Source organism: Homo sapiens, chromosome 1 (genome assembly GCF_000001405.40).
Source record: "Homo sapiens chromosome 1, GRCh38.p14 Primary Assembly".
NCBI lineage: Eukaryota > Metazoa > Chordata > Mammalia > Primates > Hominidae > Homo > Homo sapiens.
In genome coordinates, this window is record NC_000001.11 from 45,516,886 (window position 1) to 45,534,711 (window position 17,826).

The 17,826-nt window shown below is 47.1% G+C and overlaps 1 protein-coding gene and 1 pseudogene across 4 annotated transcripts in view, besides 3 other annotated features; one reads left to right on the forward strand and one right to left on the reverse strand.

Annotated features, from left to right (window-relative positions):
* The window catches only part of PRDX1 (peroxiredoxin 1), an 11,840-nt gene extending 5,835 nt beyond the window's left edge, over nucleotides 1-6,005 (reverse strand). Inside the window, exons 1-2 of one of the 4 annotated variants that reach the window (NM_001202431.2) lie at nucleotides 5,893-6,005; nucleotides 2,053-2,169 (exon numbers count right to left, since the gene is read on the reverse strand). In NM_001202431.2, the coding sequence (NP_001189360.1) occupies nucleotides 2,053-2,158 (106 nt within the window). In that variant the 5' untranslated portion in view covers nucleotides 2,159-2,169; nucleotides 5,893-6,005. Of the gene's footprint in view, nucleotides 1-2,052; nucleotides 2,170-4,723; nucleotides 5,000-5,892 lie in introns of those variants that run through there. The other 3 variants (NM_181697.3, NM_181696.3, NM_002574.4) reach the window with 3 other exon arrangements.
* Nucleotides 4,193-4,355: a silencer, noted in NCBI's record as "fragment chr1:45986750-45986912 (GRCh37/hg19 assembly coordinates)". NCBI's record gives its function as "represses an EF-1alpha promoter that drives an FKBP-Casp9 reporter gene in an ReSE screen in K562 erythroleukemia cells {active_cell/tissue: K562}" and the evidence as "EXISTENCE:reporter gene assay evidence [ECO:0000049][PMID:32094911]".
* Nucleotides 5,398-5,477: an enhancer, noted in NCBI's record as "active region_973". NCBI's record gives its function as "activates an Ori minimal core promoter by ATAC-STARR-seq in GM12878 lymphoblastoid cells {active_cell/tissue: GM12878}" and the evidence as "EXISTENCE:reporter gene assay evidence [ECO:0000049][PMID:35858748]".
* Nucleotides 10,169-10,677: an enhancer, noted in NCBI's record as "H3K27ac hESC enhancer chr1:45992726-45993234 (GRCh37/hg19 assembly coordinates)". NCBI's record gives its function as "activates a minimal SCP1, AML or CMV promoter by ChIP-STARR-seq in naive H9 embryonic stem cells {active_cell/tissue: H9 hESC(naive)}" and the evidence as "EXISTENCE:reporter gene assay evidence [ECO:0000049][PMID:30033119]".
* HMGB1P48 (high mobility group box 1 pseudogene 48) lies at nucleotides 13,937-15,736 on the forward strand (annotated as a pseudogene).

A 17,826-nucleotide genomic window follows, 5' to 3' on the forward strand; every position in this document is an offset into this window, starting at 1 on the left:
CAGCGGGGGCCTGAAATCTCAGCTACTGGGGAGGCTGAGCCAGGAGAATCACTTGAACCGGGGAGATGGAGGTCGCAGTGACCTGAGATCATGCCACTGCACTACAGCCTGTGCGACAAGATCAAAATTCCACCTCAAAAAAAAAAAAAAAAAGCCAAACAAGCAGCCCTTTTTGACATTTACCACTTTGCAGTATCACTGGAAACTAACTCATCTAAACAACCCTTCCAGCTTTGCCTAACAAGCACTTTGGGGCCTCAGCAGGTCAAGCTCTGGAGGGCAGAGAACAGCTCCTCCTAGACCTCCTGCTTATACCCCTGGGCCCAGGTCACCTCCCTATGGTGCAACTTACCTTGTTTGCTGGGAGAAGCCCCAAGAACAAAGTGTGATTATGTCAGGAAACCTAGTCAAATGTTCTACCAAAAACTAACTCCAGGGACTAATGCTACACCACTGAGAAAAGGACACTTGACACCTGAGTTTCAGGTTAGCATTCTAAGGAATCTATATCCTCAACTGTCCCAGGAGATCGAGCTGCTCTGGAACTACAAGGTAAAGAAAGGAGGAGCCTCAACAGAACTTGCCAAGTGTCTGCATGAAACTATGACAACAGAGGCCGGGCGCAGTGGCTCACGCCTGTAATCCCAGAACTTTGGGAGGCCAAGGCAGGCGGATCACAAGGTCAGGAGATCGAGACCATCCTGGCAAACATGGTGAAACCCCGTCTCTACTAAAAATACAAAAAAATTAGCCAAGCATGGTTGCGGGCGCCTGTAGTCCCAGCTACTCAAGAGGCTGAGGCCTGAGAATGGCATGAACCCAGAAGGCGGAGCTTGCAGTGAGCTGAGATCGCACCACTGCACTCTAGCCTGGGCGACAAAGCGAGACTCCGTCTCAAAAAAAAAAAAAAAAAAAAAAACTATGACAACAGAAAGGAGAGTTGTTCCATCTGTAATATCAACTCTCCTCCGGGGTCAAAACAGGCAAGGGAAAGTGCCTAGCCCTCAGCCTAATATTAACAGCTGTGATATATACGTGACCCAAACAAACTGAACGAGCAGTGTCACAGCTCCAGAGATTTGAGTGAGCTCTGAGACTTTAAATGTAGAATGTCTCTTATAACAAGAGATAATGAGTATTTCTCCAATAATAAAATAGAGGAGGGCCAGAGGCAGTGGCTCACACCTGTTATCCCAGCACTTTGAAAGGCTAGGGCAGGCAGAGGGCTTGAGCCCAGGAGTTGGAGACCAGCCTGGGCAACATGGCGCCCAGCTCTACAAAAAGTACAAAAATTAAGCCAGGCGTGGTGGCTCATGCCTGTAATCCCAGCATTTTGGGACGCCGAGGTGGGCGGATCATCTGAGGTCAGGAGTTCGAGACCAGCCTGACCACCATGGAGAAACCCCGTCTCTACTAAAAATACAAAAAAAAATTAGCCAGGCATGATGGCGCATGCCTGTAATCCCAGCTACTCGGGAGGCTGAGGCAGGAGAATTGCTTGAACCTGGGCAGTGGAGGTTGTGGTGAGCCGAGATCACGCCATTGCACTCTAGCCTGGGCAACAAGAGCAAAACTCCATCTCAAAAAAAAAAAAAAAAAAAAAAAGTACAAAAATTAGCCAGGCATGGCAGCATGCCCCTACAGTCCCAGCTACTTGGGAGGCTGAGGTAGGAGGACCACCTGAGCCCAGAGAGGTAGAGGCTGCAGTGAGCCATGACTGCGCCACTGCACTCCAGCCTGGGTGACAGAATGAGACCCTGTCTCAAAAATAAAAATAAAGAAAGAAAATAGACGAGGAATACTGAAAAGATAATTGAGCTAGTATGTCCAGACATAATGAAGCATGTGGTTTCTCCAGAAGTGGTTTGGTCCTAGGATATATACCCTGTAATCACTTGATAATCACCACTTCAACATGAAGGTAACAACCTAAATACTTCTTCCTAGGAGACAAAACATTTTACAGTCAAACAACATTGACACAAATCTAACAAGCCACCCCTAGAATATAAAATAACTCCATCTCAATGAGCCCAGTGTTAATTCTCTCACCTTTGTAGTCAGACAGGCTGATATCTTTAAACTGACCATCTGGCATAACAGCTGTGGCTTTGAAGTTGGGGGCAGGGTGCCCAATTTTAGCATTTCCTGAAGACATCTTCCTATCAGCTAGAAATAACAGAAATGAATTAGAAACAAGCCTTAATTTTCTACATAACCAGCAGCCTTCACCTACTTAAAGAGACTTAGCTGTAAACAATCAAGGCATTGTCCAGTGTCCCTGAATACATTAAATGTTGTTTTAGTAAGAAGCTCCAGCCAGCAGTCAAGGGTCACAGTCTGAGCTTTCCAACTTTTGGAACGAAACAAGTCTCTGAATCTCAGCCTTTGTTTTCATTTAAAAACAGCAAGGCAATTTCTTTATATACTGAGATAACCTCTCATTCTTTCTGAACCATAATTAGTGCAGTGGCATCTTATTCATTATACAGAAGCAGAGAGAGAGGCAGATGAAGACTCTCAAACCAGAATCCAAATGCACAATGCCACAAACACTTTTGTTTGGCTCCCCAAAAGTCACGTTGACCTTTCCCATCACTGTGCCTCCACCTGCCTTCATAACATCAGAAGCATATTTGACTTTTCTCCAGGTAGCTTTGTCCAAGACAGCACACAACCTATAACTAATTCAACTTGTTTTATTTGTTTTTGTTTTGTTTTGTTTTTTTGACGGAGTTTCGCTCTTGGGGCCCAGGCTGGAATGCAATGGCATTATCTCGGCTCACTGCAACCTCCACCTCTCAGGTTCAAGGGATTCTCCTGCCTCAGCCTCCATAGTAGCTGGGATTACAGGCGCAGGCCACCACACCCGGCTAATTTTTTTGTACTTCTATTAGAGACGGGATTTCTCCATGTTGGTCAGGCTAGTCTCAAACTCCTCACCTCAGATGATTGCCCAACTCAGTCTCCCAAAATGCTGGGATTACAGGCGTGAGCCACCGCGCCCTTCCAGTCAGTCCAACTTTTAAGAGGCAAGACCACTGGGCGCAGTGTCTCACACCTGTAATCCCAGCACTTTGAGAGGCTCAGGCGGGCGGATCACCGGGTCAGGAGTTCGAGACCAGTCTGGCCAACATGGTGAAACCCCGTCTCTACTAGAAACACAAAAATTAGTCGGGCGTGGTGGTGCATGCCTGTAATCGCAACTACTCAGGAGGCTGAAGCAGGAGAATCACTTGAACCCGGGAGGCAGAGGTTGCAGTAAGCTGAGATCGCGCCACTGCACTCCAGCCTGGGCAACAGAGTGAGACTCTGTCTCCAAAAAAAAAAAAAAAAAAAAGAGGCAAGACCAAGATATTGATTGGCATCTGCTTAATTTCAAATCTTTAGGTATTGTGTAAGCCCTAGAATTCCCTTCACCATTTGTGAAGGTGGGTTCCTGACTTTGGGGCTAATATCCCAGGGCGAAAACAAGTATAAGAATCAATTTACTGCTGAAAAGGAAGGTTGCACTGGATTCACCCAGATCAACACCAAGATTAGTATTGAGATCTTGGCCAAGCGCTGTGGCTCAAGCCTGTAATCCCAGCACTTTGGGAGGCCGAGGCAGGCAGATCACCTGAGGTCAGAAGTTCGAGACCAGCCTGGCCATCATAGTGAAACCCCGTCTCTAACAAAAATACAAAAAATTAGCCGGGGGTGGTGGCACGCGCCTGCAGTCCCAGCTACTCGGGAGGCTGAGGCAGGAGAATGGCGTGAACCCGGGAGGCGGAGGCTGCAGTGAGCCGAGATCCAGCCACTGCACTCCAGCCTGGGCGACAGAGCGAGACTCCGTCTCAAAAAAAAAAAAAAAAAAAAAATACAAAAATTAGCCGGGGCTTGGTGGCACAAGCCTGTAATCCCAGCTACTCCTAAGGCTGAGGCAGAAGAATTGCTTGAATTCGGGAGACAGGGGTTGCAGTAAGCCGAGACCGCGCCACTGCACTCCAGCCTGGCCGACAGAGCGAGACTCTAGCTCAAAAAACAGAGATTTAACCCACTAAGCCGCGGTCTGAAAGCTTTTCCAAGTCCCAAAGTTCTTAGTTCACAATACCACAAGCAAAAGAAATTTTGTAAGCATGGATCTTAGCAAACTTTTAACTGTTTTTTAAAAAGTCCTTAACACCTTTAACGACAAAAAACAAAAACCAAAAACTAAGGCATGCTGCAACTTGGTGCCCCCAAATGGCCTTCTCGTCCAATCCTTCTTTCCCAAGTGGCCCCCAAGTACAAAACCCAACCAATTCGGGGTAAAGGCTGCTGGGATTCAGGCCGCCACCGGGCCCCTTCAGGGGATCTGCCCAGCGTAGAGGGCCACATCCCTAAACCCCACTTCAGGTGCCCCCTGTCCCTCCCCAGCACTGGAGAAAGCACCAGCAGAGAGAGTGCTTCAGCGGGGACATTTGGGCTCATCGCTAACTCCATTCCACGTACAGGAAAATAAAGACGGGGAAAGGGTACCCGAAGCTCCGCAGCTAGTCAAGGCTCAGGACCCGGAACAGCCAAATACATAGAGGCTGTCTTCTACAGCCACGAGTCTGGATACAGGTCCATTCCAGAAGCTTCCCGAACCCACCCCGTCCGGCAGGAGGCTAGTCTCGGAGACCCCCACCACCAGCCCGCCCAGACGCCGCGCCACGTGCTCGAGTTGCCGGGGGAAGACTCGACTCGAGTCCACGCTTGCCTTGGGGTTCAACCAGGTTCCCGCACCTACGTGGGGGGCCCACGAGAGGGGTGTGCGCAGCGCTCAAGCAGTCTCGGACTCCGGGCCTCCCCCGGCTGCCTCACGCATCACAGCACCCCCACCCGAGCGCGGGCGGGCCCCGGACAGGAGGAGGAAGAGGCAACAGGCAAGAAGGGCGCGCCGCGCCTCACTCCGCAGGGGCCGCACTGCCCACACTCACCAGTCCCAACACAAGTCGCAGAAACTAACCACCGACACCAGGCAAGAACAAGACGCGCAAGAGCTCTCCGGGGCGCTGCCTTTATAGCCAGTAGGGATCTCGCGAGAGTCGGAACGGACGGGGGTGCCGGAGGAGGAGAGAGAGGAGGGGGATGTGGCCCGAGCCCCGCCCGGCGCGCCCCGCCGGAATGACTCGGCGCTTTCCCTCGTTGGGGCGGGTGCGGAAAAATACTAATACCCCACCCTGTTGCGGATGGCTGAGGTTGGAGTGAGGCGCCCTTGTGGCCGCTCCCGAACCCGAACGCTTAGGTTAATCCTAGATCTCTGCGGAAAACCAGGATTCTCTTTACTTCCAGGACCACTACGCACTGTGCCCTCAATGCCCAAACTGGAGTAAGCGTCTTAGCTGCTGCCCACGGAGGACCACGTCTAACCACACCAAGCCATGAGAACTGTCTATCCAAATATTTCTTAAGTTCGCAGCCTTAACCCCAGCGCAGATCCTCAGTAACCCTCATGGCTTAGATAGCTTCCTTCATTGTTCTCTTTAATTACAGGGTTGCTGCTTTCTGTTGTAAAGGAAAATAAAATATCAGGACTCCTAAACTTACGCCAGAGGGAAAGTTCATCTTGGGAGGCTGATTCAGTTACACGACCATCCTCTCCCCGGATGAATAATTTGACTTTACAATCTTGAGTCAAAACATTACACATTAGCCAGACCCACACGGTAAGGCAAAAGGCCTCAGACATTTCCTGATGACTACCCCCCACAAACACACATACACAAAATCATAATTAATTATTTGCTCCCCTGGAAACCTTTAAAGTATGTAGCCTCCCATAAAACAAGGACGTGTCAATTGCAACTAGATCTACAATATAAAGTCTAGTTCCTAAAACTAAAGTTTGTTCTATTCCACATTTTTTTGAGACGGAGTCTCACTCACCCTGTCGCCCAGGCTGTAGTGCAGTGGCACGGTGTTGGCTTACTGCAACCTCCACCTCCCGGGCTCAAGCGATTCTCCCGCCTCACCTCCGGAGTGTCTGGGACTACAAGCACGCACCACCACGCCCAGCTAATTTTTTGTATTTTTAGTAGAGACGAGGTTTCATCATGTTGGCTAGGCTGGTCTCCAACGCCTGACCTCAGGTGATCCGCCCGCCTTGGCCTCCCAAAGTGCTAGGAATGTAAGCGCGAGCCACCGCACCTGGCCTCTATTCCACAAATTCCATAAATGTTCACTACTAGATTACCTTTCTACTAGACTACTTTCTACCTTTCTAGTAGTACCTTACTACTAGATTACCCTGAGTCCACCACATAATTGTTTTCTTCCTCCATTCCCTTTTTCTTCAAACATTCACCTTATCTTATGTAAAAATGTAGATTTAGGCCACCTAGGAGGGCGGATCATAAGGTCAGGAGATCGAGACCATCCTGGCCAACATGGTGAAACCCTGTCTCTGCTAAAATACAAAAACTTAGCCGAGTGTGGTGGCGCGCCTGTAGTCCTAGCTACTTGGGAGGCTGAGGCAGGGGAATCGCTTGAACCCGGAGGCAGAGGTTGCAGTGAGCCGAGAGCACCACTGCACTCCAGCCTGGCAACAGAGCAAGACTCCGTCTCAAAAAACAAAACGTAGATTTCCTGAGCATTAGCTAAAGTCTTTGCCTCAATCTTTCCCACCCCCACTTTTCAAGGAAAATGTATAAATACTAAAAACCTCCTGAGAACCTCTTGGGAAGAAACAGCCACAAAAGTGTCTGTGACATGGTTTAGTCAGTTTAGTCACTCATTTCAATTAACACTATCTCTTATCCATCCCTTCCACTGCAGCTGAAGGAAATCTTTCTGAAGTCTGATCATGTCACTGTTATTCGTGGTTTAAAAGCTGGGGAAGAAACAGCCACAAAAGTGTCTGTGACATGGTTTAGTCAGTTTAGTCACTCATTTCAATTAACACTATCTCTTATCCATCCCTTCCACTGCAGCTGAAGGAAATCTTTCTGAAGTCTGATCATGTCACTGTTATTCGTGGTTTAAAAGCTGGGGCTAAAGAAAGAAAGAAAGTAAAATTTAAAAAGAAAAGAAAAATAAAAAATAAAATAAAAGCTGAGGCTCTGTAGTCAATTTACTGAGTTAAAACTCCTCACTGTCAGGGCCGGGCGCGGTGGTTCATGTCTGTAATCCCAGCACTTTGGGAGGCTGAGGAGGGCAGATCACCTGAGGTCAGGAGTTCGAGACCAGCCTAACGTGGAGAAACCCCATCTCTACTAAAAATACAAAATTAGCCACGTGTGGTGGCGCATGTCTGTAATCCCAGCTACTCTGGAGGCTGAGGCAGGTGAATCGCTTGAATCAGGGAGGCAGAGGTTGCAGTGAGCTGAGATAGCGCCATTGCACTCCAGCCTGGGCAACAAGAGCGAAACTCTGTCTCAAAAAAAAACACACACACACAAACACAAAAACTCCTCACTGTAATTTTAGGTGTGAACTTGGGCAAGTCTTAAACTCATTAAACCTTACTTTTCTCAACTGTAAAATGGGAATAATATTAATACTTTATTGTGATTATCTATGTAGTTCAGTACAGTACTTAGTTCTTATTATAAATTAGAAATGTTAGCTGCTATTAGTATAACTCTTCCATCCTTCACACTTATAACACCCAGAACACAGTGTAGTTGTTTCAAGCCTTCAGACTTTTTTTTTTAAGATGGAATTTCGCTTTTCTTGCCCAGGCAGGAGTGCAATGGCACGACTTCTGCTCACTGCACCCTCCACCTCCAGCGTTCAAGCAATTCTCCTGCCTCAGCCTCCCAAGTAGCTGGGATTACAGGCGCCCACCACCACGCCCGGCTAATTTTTTGTATTTTTAGTAGAGACGGGGTTTCAGTATGTCAGCCAGGCTGGTCTCAAACTCCTGACCTCAGTTGATCTACCTGCCTCAGCCTCCCAAAGTGCTGGGATTACAGGAGTGAGCCACTGAGCCCGGCCGCCTTCAGACTTTTGTTTGAACCTGGAAAACTCTTTCCCTGGAGAAAACATGTCTTTCAGCATTACTTTCTCTCCGGCTGTTTCTTACCTTTACTCATTCCCAGGATTTACAATTCCCCTCCTTTGTGTCCAAACAATAGCTTGTATAGCCAAAAAAATCTTTTAAGCAATTTTAGTTTTACATTTCTTCCTCTGCCTGCTAGAGTGACTTTCTGGAGAGTAGGATGTGGGTGACATCTGTCTCTGTGTCCCCAAAGTCACAACAAAGCATCTGATATAAAATAGGAGCTCAGTCAGTGAGCATTCAATCAATAGTATCATGTTTCTGTCTCTGTCCCCAGCTCCCTCACTAACTCCCTTGGCCCTTATAGTGGGATAATGAATGAGGAAGTGCTGTCTCATGCTCATTGAGCATCTCAATTTTTGTTATTTATCATACTACTTTGCATAGACGTGATTTATTTGCTTTTTCCTTCTTTGCCTGAGGCTGAATAGTTAGTTGGCATTATTCCTTTTTTTAATTTTTATGTAACTTTTATTCTTTTTTATCAGGCAGCCACCCGAGCCAGCAGCCAGCGTAGGCTCAGAGAGACTCCCCTTTCTTTCTTGCAGGAGCAAGGGCAGCATGAAAGTTCAGAGCTTAATAATGGATGGTTATTGGCTATGGGCAGGCTAAACCAATACACAGTACATACAGTCATACTTCAGCCCAAAGAAAATTGCCACCTATTGTATTCACCATATGCCAGGCATTGGGCTGGGCACTTGAGTTTATTTTTCTAATTCAAGAACAAGGCCAGGCACGGTGGCTCATGCCTGTAATCCCAGCACTTTGGGAGGCTAAGGCGGGCAGATCACAAGGTCAGGAGTTTGAGACCAGCCTGGCCAACATGGAGAAATCCCATCTCTACTAAAAATACAAAAATTAGCTGGGTTTCGTGGTGTGCACCTGTAGTCCCAGCTACTCAGGGGGCTGAGGCAGGAGAATCTCTTGAACCCAGGAGGCGGAGGTTGCAGTGAGCCGAGATCGCGCCACTGCACTCCAGCCTGAGTGACAGAGTGAGACTCCGTCTAAAAAAAAAGAACAAAAGCCGGGCATGGTGGCTCAAGCCTGTAATCCCAGCACTTTGGGAGGCCAAGGTGGGCAGATCATGAGGTCAGTAGTTCCAGACCAGCCTGACCAACATGGTGAAAACCTGTTTCTACTAAAAATACAAAAATTAGCTGGGCGTGGTGGCAGGCACTTGCAATCCCAGCTACTCAGGAGGCTGCAGCAGGAGAATCACTTGAACCCGGGAGGCAGAGGTTTTAGTGAGCTGAGATCCCGCCACTGCACTCCAACCTGGGCAACAGAGCAAGACTCTGTCTCAAAAAAAAAAAAAAAGAAAAAAGAAAAAAAGAAAAGAAAAAAGAACTAAAAGAGAGTGGAGCACATTTGGCATGTGACTATAGTCCCAGCTACTTGGTAGGCTGAGGTGAGAGGATCACTTGAGCCCTGGAGTTTGAGCCCAGCCTAGGCAGTGCTGCAAGAACCAGTCTCTAAACAAACAAAGAAAAAAAAACAGGAAAAAAAAAGAGTTATCCTAGCCTAGAGAAATGTTAACAGTCTATCCCCTTAAGATCATAAAAGTGAAATAACTGGACAGAGTACTGAAAAAAGAAGAAATCTGTTGAACAAGTCTAAGTGATTTGTAGAGTCTCTCCAAAGGACAGTAAAGATTTCAGAACCATGGGGAGGAGGCTTTCTTGCAGGGTCTGATGTATACCTCTAGTTCTATTTTTAGATATATTCCATTGTGCTCTCTTCATTTGCTCACCATTAGCATGGGAATTATTCCCCTTGTTTTATTTATATTTGTAGTAACAAGTCTAGCACAGTAACTGGCATAGAAGTACTTAATAAATGTTACAATGTGTTGAAGACTTTTGAGATGTAGAATTAAATTATTTGAACTACGTTTCAGGAAGTTGACTCTGGAAGCTGTGTGATGAATGAATTTAGTGACTAGGAGATTAGGCAAAGAGAGCAATTGGGAGGCCACGGCAATGATCCAGACAAGAGAAGTCTCAGAACTGTAATATGACATTAGCAGCAGGGTAGAAAGAAGGAAATACAAGGTATATTTCTTCAGGCTTTAGGATTAATTGGATTTAGGATGAAAGGAAAGAGTAAATTAAATCCAGTTTCTTGGTGACATGAGTGATGTCATTAACCTGTGACATAGGAAACACTGGAAGAAAAGCAGGTTTGAGGTTTAAAATAATGTTAAACAGGCCGGGAGCGGTGGCTCACGCCTGTAATCCCAACATTTTGGGAGGCCAAGGCAGGAGGATCATCTGAGGTCAGGAGTTCGATATCAGCCTGGCCAACATGGTGAAACCCCGTCTCCACTAAAAACACAAAAATCAGCTGGGCATGGTGGTGGGCACCTGTAGTCCCAGCTACTTGGGAGGCTGAGGCAGGACAAGTGATTGAACCCGGGAGGCGGAGGTTGCAGTGAGCCAAGATGGCACCACTGCACTCCAGCCTGGATGACAAGAGCGAGACTCCATCTCAAAAAAAAAAAAAAAAATGCCGGGTGTGGTGGCTCATGCCTGTAATCTCAGCACTTTGGGAGGCCGAGGCAGGTAGATTGTCTGAGCTCAGGAGTTCAAGACCAGCCTGGGCAACATGGTGAAACCCCGTCTCTGCTAAAATACAAAAAAAAAAAAAAAAATTAACCGGGTGTGGCAGTGTGCCCCTGTAATCCCAGCTACTTGGGAGGCTGAGGCAGGAGAATTGCTTGAACCCAGGAGCAGAGGTTGCAATGAGCCAAGATCGCACCACTACACTCCAGCCTGGGCAACAGAACAAGACTCCGTCTCAAAAAAAAAAAAAAGCAGTAGTTACATCACTGCACTAATTTGCTGTGGGAGACAGTTACCTGACTCATCAACAGCCATTGTCTCTTCTTCACAGCCAACTAAATGTAAAAGGTAAGGCAATTCAATGTAAGTATAAAGCCCATGTCCCAGGACAGCAATCATTTTAACAGTAGGACTTGCTAACCTGATAGCAGCCTGCTATAAACTTATAAACCATTAAAATTAAACCTATAAACCATGAAACTAAATGCTCTCAGATAATTGTAACAACAAATGCAAAATAAAATAATGGACGCCGGGCATGGTGGTGCATGCCTGTAAAGCCAGCACTTTGGGAGACCGAGGTGGGCAGATCACTTGAGCCCAGGAATTTGAGATCAACCTGGACAACATGGCGAAACTCCATCTGTGGGGGAAAAGCAAGAGAGATCAGATTGTTACTGTGTCTGTGTAGAAAGAAGTAGACATAGGAGACTCCATTTTGTTCTGTACTAAGAAAAATTCTTCTGCCTTGAGATTCTGTTAATCTATGACCTTACCCCTAACCCCGTGCTCTCTGGAACATGTGCTGTGTCAAACTCAGGGTTAAATGGATTAAGGGCTGTGCAAGATGTGCTTTGTTAAACAGATGCTTGAAGGCAGCATGCTCCTTAAGAGTCATCACCACTCCCTAATCTCAAGTACCCAGGGACACAAACACTGCGGAAGGCTGCAGGGACCTCTGCCTAGGAAAGCCAGGTATTGTCCAAGGTTTCTCCCCATGTGATAGTCTGAAATATGGCCTCGTGGGAAGGGAAAGACCTGACCGTCCCCCAGCCCGACACCCGTAAAGGGTCTGTGCTGAGGAGGATTAGTATAAGAGGAAGGCATGCCTCTTGCAGTTGAGACAAGAGGAAGGCATCTGTCTCCTGCCCGTCCCTGGGCGATGGAATGTCTCGGTATAAAACCCGATTGTACGTTCCATCTACTGAGATAGGGAAAAACCTCCTTAAGGCTGGAGGTGGGACATGCGGGCAGCAATGCTGCTTTGTAAAGCATTGAGATGTTTATGTGTATGCATATCTAAAAGCACAGCACTTGATTCTTTACCTTGTCTATGATGCAAAGACCTTTGTTCACGTGTTTGTCTGCTGACCCTCTCCCCACAATTGTCTTGTGACCCTGACACATCCCCCTCTCCGAGAAACACCCACAAATGATCAATAAATACTAAGGGAACTCAGAGGCTGGCGGGATCCTCCATATGCTGAACGCTGGTCCCCTGGGTCCCCTTATTTCTTTCTCTATACTTTGTCTCTGTGTCTTTTTCTTTTCCAAGTCTCTCGTTCCACCTAACAAGAAACACCCACAGGTGTGGAGGGGCAACCCACCCCTTCACCATCTCCACAAAAAATAAAAAATTAGCCCAGTGTGGTGGTGTGTGCCTGTGGTCCTAACTAGTCCAGAGGCTGAGGTGGGAGGATTGCTTGAGTCCCAGAGCTCGAGGCTGCAGTGAGCCGAGATGGCACCACTGTACTCCAGCCTGGGTGACAGAGTGAGCAGAGTGAGACCCTGTCTCAAAAAATAATAAAATAAAATAATGGGAACCCAAATCACAAGACAGCACTCATTTTTCTTTTATTTATTTTATTTTTTTTGAGACAGAGTCTTGCTCTGCTGCCCAGACTGGAGTGCAGCAGCATGGTTTCGGCTCACTGCAACCTCCACCTCCTGGGTTCAAGTGATTCTTGTGCCTCAGCCTCCCAAGTAGCTGGAATTACAGGTATGTGCCACCATGCCTGACTGATTTTTGTATTTTTAATAGAGACAGGGTTACGCCATGTTGTCCAGTCTGGTTTCGAACTCCTGGTCTCAAGGGATTCACCCATCTCGGCCTCTCAAAGTACTGGGATTACAGGCTGAGTCACCACTACCGGGCTTATTTTTCATACAGATGATTTAGAATATGTTTATGTTAAATTTTTTTAGATTATCACTAAAAGAAAACAGTTGAATTCTTCAATTTACAAGGATTCAATTTTTAAAATTATATTTGAATGTACAGAGGCCTACAAATACCAATTTCAGAAACACTGTTATCAAGGATATCTATTTGTTAAAATTGAATGCAACTGAAAGTAACAGATTAACTGCAAATAACAAGCTTAACCAAATAGGGGATTAATTTTTCCCATTTAACAAGGAGACAGGGCCGGGCACAGTGGCTCACGCCTGTAATCCCAGCACTTTGGGAGGTCGAGGCGGGTGGATCACTTGAGGTTGGGAGCTCAAGACCAGCCTGACCAACATGGAGAAACCCCGTGTCTACGAAAAATACAAAATTAGCCGGACGTGATGGTACATGCCTGTAATCTCAACTACTCGGGAGGCTGAGGCAGGAGAATGGCTTGAACCTGGGAGGTGGAGGTTGCAGTGAGCCAAGATCGCGCCATTTGCATTCCAGCCTGGGCAACAAGACGAGCTCCGTCTCAAAAAAAAAAAAAAAAAAAAAAAAGCAAGTAGACAGGGCCAGGTGGAGTGGCTCATGGTTGTAATCCCAGCATTTTGGGAGGCCGAGATGAGAGGATCATTTGAGCTCAGGAGTTGGAGACCAGCCTGGGCGACATAGGGGTACCCATCTCTACAAAAAATTAAACAAACAAACAAAAAATAGCCAAACATGATGACGCATGCCTGTAGTCCCAGCTACCCAGGAGGCTGAGATGAGAGAATTGATTGAATCTAGGGGGTTTAGGCCACAGTGAGCCATGAATGCACCACTGCACTCCAGCCTGAGCAACAGAGCAAGACCCTGCCTCAACAAAAAAAAAGCAAAACAAAATGATAAAAAGCAAGTAAGGCAGGGCACAGTGGCTCACGCCTGTAATCCTAGCACTTTGGGAGGCCGAGGCAGGCAGATTACTTGAGGTCAGGAGTTCTAAACCAGCGTGGCCAACATGGTGAAACTTCGTCTCTACTAAAAATACAAAAAAAATAGCCAGGCGTGGTGGTGGACACCTGTAATCCCAGCTACTCTGGAGGCTGAGGCAGGATAATCGCTTAAACCCGGGAGGCGATCATGCCACTGCACTCCAGACTGGGCTACAGAGCAAGGCTCTGTCTCAAAAAAAAAAAAAAAAAAAAGAAGTAGACAGCTGTTACAGTATGTTAAGCTCCATAGAGACAGCACCAGGGCAAGTGAGAGCCTGACAGGCACAGGGTGACTCTGTGCCTCACTGAGGAAAAATAACTAGACATGAGCAAAGGAGATCCTCAGAAACCTAGAGGCAAAATGTCATCATATGCATTTTTCGTGCAAAACTTGTCGGGAGGAACATAAGCACCCAGAGGCTTCAGTCAGCTTCTCAGAGTTTTTTTTTTTTTTTTTTTAGATGGAGTCTTGCTCCCATCGCGCAGGCTGAAGTGCAGTGGCGCGATCTTGGCTCACTGCAACCTCTGCCTCCCGGGTTCAAGTGATTCTCCTGCCTCAGCCTCCTGAGTAGCTGGGATTACAGGTGTGCGCCACCATGCCTGGCTAATTTTTGTATTTTTAGTAGAGACAGGGTTTTTGCCATGTTGGCCAGGCTGGTCTCGAACTCCTGACCTCAGGTGATCCACCCGACTCAGCCTCCCAAAGTGCTAGGATTATAGGCGTGAGCCACCACGCCCAGCCAGCATTTTCTAAGAGTGCTCAGAGAGGTAGAAAACTGTATCTGCTAAAGAGAAAGGAAAATTTGAAGACATGGCAAAGGTGGACAAGGCCCGTTATAAAAAAGAAATGAAAACCTATGTCCCCCGTAAAGGGGAGATAAAAAGAAGTTCAAAGATCCCAGTGCATCCAAAAGGCCTCCTGTAGCCTTTTTGTCTTTCTGTTCTGAGTATTGCCCAAAAATCAAAGAACACCCAGGCCTATTCATTGGTGATGTTGCAAAGAAATTGGGAGAGATGTGGAATAACACTGCTGCAGTCGGGCATGGTGTCTCACGCCTGTAATCCCAGTACTTTGGGAGGCCGAGGTGGGCAGATCACGAGGTCAGGAGTTCGAGACCATCCTGGCCAACATGGTGAAGCCCTGTCTGTACTAAAAATACAAAAATTGGCCACTCGTGGTGGTGCACGCCTGTAATCCCAACTACTCGGGAGGCTGAGGCAGGAGAATCGCTTGAACCCGAGAGGCGGAGGTTGCAGTGAGCAGAGATCGCACCATTGCACTCCAGCCTGGGCAATAGAGTGAGACTCTGTCTCAAAAAACAATGACCAAAAAAACACTGCTGTGGATGGCAAGTAGCCTTATGAAAAGAAGGCTGAGAAGCTAAAGGAAAAATAGGAAATGGAAATTGTTGCATATCAAGCTAAAGGAAAGCCTGATATAGCAAAAAAGGGAGTCGTCAAGGCTGAAAAAACGAAAGAGAAAGAAGGAAGAGGAGAAAGATGAGGAAGATGAGGAGGAGGAAGATGAAGATGATTAATAAGTTGGTTCTATCACATTTTTTTTTCTGTCTAAAAAGCATTTAACCCTTCTGTATACAAATTACTCCCTTTAAAGAAAAAATTGATGCCGGGCGCGGTGGCTCATGCCTGTCTGTAATCCCAACACTTTGGGAGGCCAAAGTGGGCAGATCACCTGAGGTCAGGAGTTCAAGACCAGCCTGGCCAAAATGGCGAAACCCCATCTCTACAAAAATACAAAAATTAGCTGGGCATGGTGGTGTGTGCCTGCAATCCCAGGTACTCGGGAGGCTGAGTCATGAGAATCACTTGAATCCGGGAGGCAGAGATTGCAGTGAGCTGAGATCGCGCCATTGCACTCCAGCGTAGGCGACAGAGCGAGACTTCATCTCAAAAAAAAAAAAAAAAAGAAAAAAATTGAAAAGTAAGGCTGTGTAGGATTTGTTTTTAAACTATACAGTGTCTTTTTTGTATAGTTAACACACTACTAAATGTGTCTTTACACATTATCTTTTAGTTTTTCTAGAGACGGAGTCTTGCTCTGTTGCCCAGGCTGGAGTGCAGTGGCACCATCATAGCTCACTGCAGCCTGGAATTCTTGGGCTCAAGCAATCCTCTTACCTCAGGCTCCTGAGTAGCTGGGACTATAGATGGGTGCCACCACGCCTGGCTAATTTGAAAAAAAAATTTTTTTTTTTTGAGATGGAGTTTTGCTCTTGTTGCCCGGGCTGGAGTCCAGTGTCACCATCTCTGCTCACTGCAACCTCCGCCTCCAGAGTTCAAGCAATCCTCCTGTCTCAACCTTCTGAGAAATTGGGATTACAGGAGCTCGCCACCACACCAGGCTAATTTTTTGTATCTTTAGTAGAGATGGGGTTTCACCATATTGGCCAGGCTGGTCTCGAACTCCTGACCTCAGGTGGTCCGCCTGCCTTGGTCTCCCAAAGTGCTGGGCACCACGCCCGACCTAAAACATTTTTTTTTGTTGGCCAGGAGCGGTGGCTCACACCTGTAATCCCAGCACTTTGGGAGGCTGAGGTGGGTGGATCGTGAGGTCAGGAGATGGAGACCATCCTGGCTAACACAGTGAAACCCCGTCTCTACTAAAAATACAAAAAATTAGCTTGGCGTGATGGCAGGCGCCTGTAGTCCCAGCTACTCGGGAGGCTGAGGCAGGAGAATGGCGTGAACCCGGGAGGCGGATCTTGCAGTGAGCTGAGATTGCGCCACTGCACTCCAGCCTGGGTGACAGAGTGAGACTCTGTCTCAAAAAAAAAAAAAAAATTTTTTTTTGTTGTTTAGACAGAGACTCTTTATGTTGCCCAGACTTGTCTTCAATTCCTGGGCTCAAGCAGTCCTCCTCCTTTGGCCTCCCAAAGTGCTGTGACTATAGTTTTTTGATTAGAAAAAAAAAAAATACAAGTTAAAAACTGGTATGATCACTCCACACTGTATCAGGAACTCAGCTCACTGCAACCTCCAACTCCCTGGTTCAAGCGATTCTCCGGCCTCAGCCTCCCAAGTAGCTGGGACTACAGGCACGCACTGCCATGAGCAGCTAATTTTTGTATATTTAGTATAGATGGGGTTTCACCATGTTGGTCAGGATGGTCTCGATCTCCTGACCTCATGATCTGCCCGCCTCGGCCTCCCAAAGTTCTGGGATTACAGCCGTGAGTCTGGCCTACTTTTATTCTTATGATAACCCTATGGTCACAAAATGTCTGCTCTACTTCCAGCCTGGACAACATAGTAAGACCCAGTCTCCAAAAAAAAAATTTTTTAATTCATTTAAAAAATAAAAAATAAATGTATTTAAGTTGCTCTTTACCTGTCTTTTTTTTTAAGAGATGAGGTCTCACTATATTGCCCAGGCTGGTCTTGAAATCCTGGGCTCAAGAGATTCTCCCACCTTGGCCTCCCAAAGTGCTGGGATTACAGGTGTGAACTGCTACTCCCAGCCTACCTAATCTTTATTTGAACTTTTCTTTTCTTTTCTTTTTGAGATGGCATCTTGCTCTGTTGACCAGGCCAGAGTGCAGTGGCGCAATCTCAGCTCACTGCAACTTCTGCCTGCCAGGTTCAAGCAATTCTCCTGCCTCGGCCTCCCGAGTAGCTGGGATCACAGGCATGCACCACCACGCCTGGCTAATTTTTGTATTTTTAGTTGAGACAGGGTTTCGCCATGTTGGCCAGGCTGGTCTCTAATTCCTGACCTCAGGTGGGGACCTCTTGGCCTCCCAAAGTGCTAGGATTACATGCATGAGCCACCACGCCTGGCCTTTTTTTTGAGACGGAGTCTTGCTCTGTCACCCAGGCTGGAGTGCAGTGGCTCAATCTTGGTTCACTGTAAACCTCTGCCTCCCAGGTTCAAGCAATTCTCCAACCTCAGCCTCCCGAGTAGCTGGAATGATAGGTGCCTGCCGCCACTCCTGGCTAATGTATTTTTAGTAGAGACAGGGTTTCACCATACTGGTCAGGCTTGTCTCGAACTCCTGAGCTCAGGTGATTCACCCGCCTCGACCTCCCAAAGTGCTGGGATTATAAGCCACCGCACCCGGCTTTTTTTTTTTTTTTTGAGAGATGAAGTGG